At 41.3% G+C, this 8811-nt stretch overlaps 1 annotated feature.

Annotated features, from left to right (window-relative positions):
• Window positions 333-935: an enhancer, noted in NCBI's record as "H3K4me1 hESC enhancer chr3:34030184-34030786 (GRCh37/hg19 assembly coordinates)". NCBI's record gives its function as "activates a minimal SCP1, AML or CMV promoter by ChIP-STARR-seq in naive H9 embryonic stem cells {active_cell/tissue: H9 hESC(naive)}" and the evidence as "EXISTENCE:reporter gene assay evidence [ECO:0000049][PMID:30033119]".

Genomic DNA, 8811 nt, shown 5'->3' with positions numbered 1-8811 from the left:
ACAAAACTGTGCAACCCACGAATCAGAAGATCCCACTCGCAAACCCACGCCACCGGGGCCTTGGGTCCCAACCCCAAAGCCATGCAGATTCTCAACAGCCACTCAGCTAGAATCTGCTTAAGCCTGCTGAGTTCCCAGGGGAAGGGGCGACCAGCACCACAGCTGCAGCTACCTGTTCTCTAAGCCCTTTGAGCTCCTTTGTGGGAGGGGCAGCAGCCAGCACTGAGACTCAGAACTGCCTAACACACTAAGCTCCCTGGGTGGGGGAAGGGCGGCATCCATCTCTATAGTTCCAGGCCACACTTTTCCCCTGCTGGAGCCAGGGAAGCTGGACTGCTTAGTCCCAAGAGATGTCCCCCACAGCCCAACACACCACTGTGCAGACTGTAGCCAGAGCACCTCTTCAGGCCTGACCCGGACCCATCCTTCCTCACTGGGCAGGGCCTCCCTGCAAGAACTCCAACTCTAGCCAGAGGCTCAGGGACAGAACCCTCATCTCCCTGGGCCTGAGCCCCTAGAGGGAGGGGTGGCTGCAGTCTCTGCGGACCAGTAGACTTAGCCTTTCCTCCTGGTAGTTCTGAGGAATCCGGGCAGCCCAGATGAGTGGGCTCCCCCGCCCAACAAAGCACACCCTCTCCAAGGACAGTCAAAGTGCTTCATTAAACAAGTCCTCTTCCCCATGCCACCCAACTGGCTGAGACCCTCCAACAGGAGTTGTCAGACACCCTACACAGGAGTGATCCTACTGGCATTAGGTTGGTGCCTCTCGAGGTCAGAGATCCCAGAAGAAGAAGCAGGCACCCATCTTTGCTGCTTTCCAGCCTCCTTGAGTGACATTTCCAGGCACAGGAGCCAACCAGATGAATAGGGCCCGAAATGAACCCCCAGCAAACCACAGCAGCCCTATAGAAGAAGGACCTGACCATTGAAAGAAAAACAAACAGAAAGCAACAACAGCATCAACAACAAAAAAAGTCCCCACAAAAACTCCAACCAAGGGTCAGAAGCCTCAAAGATCAAAACTAGACAAACTCATGAAGATGAGAAAGAATCAATTAAAAAATGCTGAAGACCCAAAGTGCCTCTTCTCCTCCAAATGATCGCAATGCCTCTCCAGCAAGGGCACAGAACTGGATGGAGGATGAGATGGACAGATTGACAGAAGCAGGCTTCAGAAGATGGGTAATAAAAAAACTCTGCTGAGCTAAAGGAGCATGTTCTAACCCAATGCAAAGAATCTGAGAACGTTAATAAAAGGTTACAGGAGCTGCTACTTAGAGTAACCAGTTTAGAGAGGAACACAAATGACCTGATGGAGGTGAAAAACACAGCACGAGAACTTTGTGAAGCATACATAAGTATCAACAGTCGAATTGACCAAGTGAAAGAAAGGATATCAGAGTTTGAAGACAACCTTGCTGAAATAAGGCATGCAGATAAGATTAGAGAAAAAAGAATGAAAAGGAATGACAAAGCCTCCAAGAAATATGAGACTATGTAAAAAGATCAAACCTATGATTGATAGGAGTACCTGAAGAAGATGGGGAGAATGGAAAAAAGCTGGAAAACACACTTCAAGATGTTATCCAAGAAAACTTCTCCCACCTAGCAAGAGAGGCCAACATGCAAATTCAGGAAATACAGAGAACACCACTAAGAGACTCCATGAGAAGATTAACCCCAGGACACATAATCCCCAGATTCACCAAGGTCAAAATGATGAGAAAAAATGTTAAGGGAAGCCAGAGAGAAAGGCCAGGTCACCTGCAAAGGGAAGCCCACCAGACTAATAGCAAATATCTTAGCAGAAACCCTACAAGCCCAAGCCAGAAGAGATTGGGGGCCAATATTCAACATTCTTTTTTTTTTTTCTTTGAGATGGAGTCTCGCTCTGTCGCCCAGGCTGGAGTGCAGTGGCGCAATCTCGGCTCACTGCAAGCTCCGCCTCCTGGGTTCATGCCATTCTCCTGCCTCAGCCTCTCCAAGTAGCTGGGACTACAGGCACCCGCCACCATGCCCGGCTAATTTTTTGTATTTTTAGGAGAGACAGGGTTTCACCATGGTCTCAATCTCCTGACCTCGTGATCCGCCCACCTCGGCCTCCCAAAGTGCTGGGATTACAAGCGTGAGCCACTGCGCCCGGCTTCAACATTCTTAATGAAAAGAATTTTCTACCCAGAATTTCACATCCAGCCAAACTAAGCTTCATAGGCAAAGGAGAAATAAAATCGTTTCCAGACAAGCAAATGCTGAGGGATTTCATCATCACCAGGCCTGCTTTGAAAGAGCTCCTGAAGGAAGCACTAAATATGGAAAGGAAAACCCAATGCCAGCCACCGCAAAAACACACCAAAATATAAAGATCAATGACACTATGAAGAAGCTTCATCAACTAGTGTGTAGATAGCATCATGATGACAGGATCAAATTCACACATAACAATACTAACCTTAAATGTACATGGGCTAAATGCCCCAATTAAAAGACACAGGCAAATTGGATAAAGAGTCAAGACCCACCAGTGTGCTGTATTCAGGAGACCCATCTCATGTGCAAAGACACACATAGGCTCAAAATAAAGGGATGGAGGAAAATTTACCAAGCAAATGGAAAGCAAAAAAAAAGCAGAAGTTGCAATCCTAGTGTCTGACAAAACAAACTTTAAACCAACAAAGATCAAAAAAGACAAAGGAGGGCATTACATAATGGTAAAGGGATCAATTCAACAAGAAGAGCTAACTATCCTAAATATATATGCACCCACTACAGGAGCACCTGGATTCATAAAATGAGTTCTTAGAGACCTACAAAGAGACTTAGACTCCCACACAATAATAGTGGGAGACTTTTAACACCACACTGTCAATATTAGATCAGCAAGACAGAAAATTAACAAGGACATTCAGGACTTGAACTCAGCTCTGGGTCAACTGGCCCTAATAGACATTTACACAACTCTCCACCCCAAATCAACAGAATATACATTTTTCTCAGTGCCACATGGCACTTAATCTAAAATGGATCAAAGAATTGGAAGTAAAACACTCTTCAGCAAATGTAAAAGAACTGAAATCATAACAACAGTCTCTCAGACCACAGTGCCATCAAATTAGAACTCAGGATAAAGAAACTCACTCAAAACCACACAATTACAAGGAAATTGAACAGCCTGCTTCTGAATGACTCCTGGGTAAATAATGAAAATAAGGGAGAAATCAAGAAGTTCTTTGAAACCAATGACAACAAAGAGACAACATACCACAATCTCTGAGACACAGCTAAAGTAGTGTTAAGAGGGAAATTTATACCACTAAATGCCCACATCAGAAAGCTAGAAAAATCTCAAATCAACACCCTTTTATCACAAGTTAAAAGAGCTAGAGAAGCAAGAGCAAACTAATCCAAAAGCTAGCAGAAGACAAGAAATAACTAAGATCAGAGCAGAATTGAAGATAGAGACATGAAAAACCCTCCAAAACATCAATGAATCCAGGAGCTGGTTTTTTGAAAAAATTAACAAATAGATCGATCACCAGCTAGACTAATGAAGAAAAGAGAGAAGGATCAAATAGACACAATAAAAAAAATGATAAAGGGGATATCACCACTGACCCCACAGAAATACAAACTGCCATCAGAAAATACTATAAACAACTCTATGCAAATAAACTAGAAAATCTAAAAGAAATGAATAAATTCCTGGACACATACACCTCCCAAGACTACACCAGGAAGAAGTTGAATCCCTCAATAGACCAATAACAAGTTCTGATATTGAGGCAGTAATTAATAGCCTACCAACCACAAAAGTCCAGGGCCAGACAGATTGACAGCTGAATTCTACCAGAGGTACAAAGAAGAGCTGATACCATTCTTTCTGAAACTATTCCAAATAATTGAAAAGGAGGGACTCCTCCCTAACTCATTTTATGAAGCCAGCATCATCCTGATACCAAAACCTGGAAGAAACACAACAAAAAAAGAAAACTCCAGGCCAATATATCTGATGAACATCCATGTGAAAATCCTCAATAAAATACTGGCAAACTGAATCCAGCAGCATCTCAAAAAACTTATCCACCATGATCAAGTCAGCTTCATCCCTGGGATGCAGGACTGGTTCAACATACACAAATCAATAAACATAACCCATCACATAAACAGAATCAAAGACAAGAACTACATGATTATCTCAATAGGTGCAGAAAAGGACTTCAATAAAATTCAGCATCCTTCATGCTAAAAACTCTCGATAAACTAAGTATTAATGGAACATATCTCAAAATAATAAGAGCTATTTATGACAAACCCACAGGCAATATCATACTGAATGGGCAAAAGCTGGAAGCATTCCCTTTGAAAACCGGCACAAGACAAGGATGCCCTCTCTCACCACTGCTATTCAACATAGTACTGGAAGTTCTGGCCAGGGCAACCAGGTAAGAGAAAGAAGTAAAGGGTATTCAAATAGAAAGAGAGGAAGTCAAATTGTCTCTGTTTGCGGAGGATTCTATATTTAGAAAGCTCCATCGTCTCAGCCCAAAAACTTCTTAAGCTGATAAGCAACTTCAGCAAAGTTTCAGGATACAAAATCAATATTCAAAAATCACAAGCATTCCTTTACACCAACAATAAACAAGCAGACAGCCAAATCATAAATGAACTTCCATTCACAATTGCTACAAAGAGAAGAAAATATGAGGAATACAGCAAACAAGGGATGTGAAGGACCTCTTCAAGGAAAACTACAAAACCACTGCTCAAAGAAATAAGAGATATCACAAACAAATGGAAAAACATTCCATGCTCATGGATAGGAAGAATCAACACCGTGAAAATGGCCATACTGCCCAAAGTAATTTATAGATTCAATGCTATTCCCATCAAACTACCATTGATATTCCTCATAGAATTAGAGAAAAATACTTTGCATTTCATATGAAATCAAAGAAGACCCCATATAACCAAGACAATCCTAAGCAAAAAGAACAAAGCTGGAGGCATCATGCTACCTGACTTCAAACTACACTACAAGGCTACAGTAACCAAAACAGTGTGATACTGGTACCAAAACAGACATACAGACCAACAGAACAGAACAGAGCCCTCAGAAATAATACCACACATATACAACCATCTGATCTTCTACAAACCTGACAAAAACAAACAATGGGGAAAGGATCTCCTATTCAATAAATGGTGCTGGGAAAACTGGCTAGCCATATGCAGAAAACTGAAGCTGGACCCCTTCCTTACATCTTACACAAAAATTAACTCCAGATGAATTAAAGACTTACTTGCAAAACCCAAAACCATAAAAATCCTTAGAAGAAAACCTAGGCAATACCATTCAGGACATAGGCATGGGCAAAGTCTTCATGACAAAAATGCCAAAAGCAATTGCAACAAAAGACAAAATTGACAAATGGGATCTAACTAAACTAAAGATCTTCTGCACAGCAAAAGGAACTATCATCAGAGTGAGCAGGCAACCTACCGAATGGGGGAAAATTTTTGCAATCTACCCATCTGACAAATGTCTAATATCCAGAATCTACAAGGAACTCAAACACATTTACATGAAAAAAAACCCCACCAAAAAGTGGGCAAGGTATATGAACAGACACTTCACAAAAGAAGATATTTATGCGGCCAAAAAACATGAAAAAAAGCTCAACATCACTGATTATTAGAGAATTGCAAATCAAAGCCACAATGAGATACCATCTCACGCCAGTCAGAGTGGCGATTATTAAAAAGTCAAGAAACAACAGATGCCGGCGAGGCTGTGGAGAAATAGGAATGCTTTTACACTCTTGGTGGGAATGTAAATTAGTTCAACCATTGTGGAAGACACTATGGCAATTCCTCAAGGATCTAGAACCAGAAATACCGTTTGACCCAGCAATCTCATTACTGGGTATATACCCAAAGGAATACAAATCATTCCATTATAAAGACACATGTACACATATTTTTTTTCTATACTTTAAGTTCTGGGATACATGTGCTGAACATGAAGGTTTGTTACATAGCTATACATGTGCCATGGTGGTTTGCTGCACCCATCAACCCATCATCTAGGTTTTAAGCCCCACATGCATTAGGTATTTCTCCTAATGCTATCTCTCCCACTGCCCCCACCCCCTGACAGGCCCCTGTGTGTGATGTTCTCCTCCCTGTGTCCATGTGTTCTCATTGTTCAACTGCCACTTATGAGTGAGAACACGAAGTGTTTGGTTTTCTGTTCCTGTGTTAGTTTGCTGAGAATGATGGTTTCCAGCTTCATCCATGTCCATGCAAAGGACATGAACTCATTCTTTTTTATGGCTGCATGGTATTCCATGGTGTATATGTGCCACATTTTCTTTATCCAGTCTATCATTGATAACCATTTGGGTTGGGTTGTAACAATAGCAAAGACTTGGAACCAACCCAAATACTCATCAATGATAGACTGGATAAAGAAAATGTGGGACATATACACCATGGAATACTATATAGCCATAAAAAAGGATGAGTTCATGTCCTTTGCAGGGACATGGAGGAAGCTGGAAACCATCATTCTCAGCAAACTTACACAGGAACAGAAAACCAAGCACTGCATGTTCTCACTCATAAGTGGGAGAACACATGGACACAGGGAGGGGAACATCACACACGGGGGCCTGTCTGGGGATGGGGAGCAAAGGGAGGGAAGTTAGAGGACAGGTCAGTAGGTGTAGCAAACCACCATGGCACACGTATACCTATGTAACAAACCTGCATGTTCTGCACATGTATCCCAGAACTTAAAGTAAAATTTTAAAAAAAGAAATAAAGAGAAAAGATAAGAATGACTCCAAACAGCAGGCACTCTGGAAAGAGAGAACAAAGAACATGGTGGAAAGAAATCATCAATAAAATAATTCAAGGAACTAGCCAGGCACTGAAAGATTCGAGTTTCCAAATTGAAAGGTTCACAAAGTACTCAGCACACAAGAAAACAACTGACCCACACTATGACCCATCATTTAAAAATTGCAGGACTTGGGAAGTAAAGAGAAGAAGTTATACATTCCTGAGCAGGAAAAAAATGCTTCCTGTATACAAAGCATCAAGGATCCAAATAACATTGAACTTCTCAAAAGCACTACCAGACGCTGGAAATCAATGTGCAATGTCATCAGAATTGTGAGGGGAAATAATTTCCAATCAAGAATTTTATATCCAAAGTTATAATTAAGTGTGAAGATAAGGACATTTTCTGTCATATAACACTCTCAGTAAAATATCTATCGTTTCTCAGTAGGATGTGTTCCGCAAAAACAAAAGAGTAGGCCAAGAAAGAGGAAGGCAAGAAAACCCAGAAATGAAAGACATTCTCAGGGTGATAGTGAAGAGAGATCCCAAGACACAACTGTGCAACAATCCTGGAGAACAATGAGCTCAGTGTGGAGCAGGTCAGAAGATATTTCTATGTATATTTCTATATGTATTACATACATATATTACTATGTATGTAAACAGATGTATGGAAAGTAGAATAGAAAGATATATACAAAAAATACACAAAATGGAAGCATATGGGAGGTAGGAAAATTAGATTGAAAATTGGGGATAAAGAGGAAAAATACATTTAAAAATTAAAAAGGGCAGCCATTAGACCAACAATGACATGGTGTCATAAACTGAGAATAATCAACTCAATTTTCTGCACATGAGATACAAACAACCAAATCAACAAAGGCACACATATCTACCTCATAAACTCATCTCTTCCAGTACCACTCTCTCTCACTTACTACTCCCCAGACATGCAGGCCAACTTTCTATTCCTTGAATTCCATGTTCATTACCACCCCCAAAGCCTTTGGACTTCCCATTTCTTCCTGAATTTTTCCTCCCATTGCTGTTTGCATGGTCAACACCTTTTCATCTCTCAAGTCTCAACTCAACATTTTACCACCTCAGAAAAGATTTTCCTTGCCCCGCTATGCAAATTCATCCCTCCAACCCTCTTGTTCCCTATCCACAAGAGCCTGCTTATTCCTTTAATAGCAACTATCAAAATGAAATTTTCATATATTTATTTGCATATTGTTTGCACTTCTCCACTCTAATAATGTAAACTCTATGAGAGCAGAAATCATATCTATTCCATTGCTCCTGTAGCCCTTGGATCTAGAACAGTGCCTGGTACGTTTTCAGTGTTCCATCATTTATTTGGTAATTTAACTGGTCATTGAAAATCAGGCCAGAAACAAAGAGGTCATGGTGTTGAAGTCATCAGTGTGGATGCTAAAAACACTGAGAATGATGGCAGTGTTTAGGAAGTGTTTAGAAGAATAAGAAAGTAACCAAGTACTGAATTCTCCTGTGAATAAGGGGGAGAGATGAGGCAGTCAGTGGACCATACACGAAAGAGTAGAAAAGAATAGCATTACCAGATGTTATAAGCTTGAAAGGGGCAGATTTTGTGGGCTGTAAGGTAAATGCCTGTTTCAAAGCATCAGTGGGGAGCAAAGAGGACACTTATTTCACCTCCTGGCTCTTAGGTAGGTACTGTGTTGGAGACGAAACAGCCTCCATTTGAGACAACCAAGGGAATACCAAGTTCCAATTGGAGAAAGGAAACAGAAAAATTCAGAGACGAGGTTAGAGATGAGTTTCCTGGTGACACTTCACTTTCGGAGGGCATAATGGAAGGTGTGGGTTAGATTAGAACAGCAGTTCCCAATCAGGGGCAATATTGCCCCCCAAATTTGGAAAGGCCTGGAAACATTTTGGTTGTCATAGCTGAGGGCATATTACCAGCACCCAGTGAGTGGA

This window comes from Homo sapiens, chromosome 3, assembly GCF_000001405.40.
Source record: "Homo sapiens chromosome 3, GRCh38.p14 Primary Assembly".
NCBI classification, from domain to species: domain Eukaryota; kingdom Metazoa; phylum Chordata; class Mammalia; order Primates; family Hominidae; genus Homo; species Homo sapiens.
The sequence above is the reverse complement of the archived record's forward strand: the minus strand, read 5'-3'. Positions and strand labels throughout refer to the sequence as shown.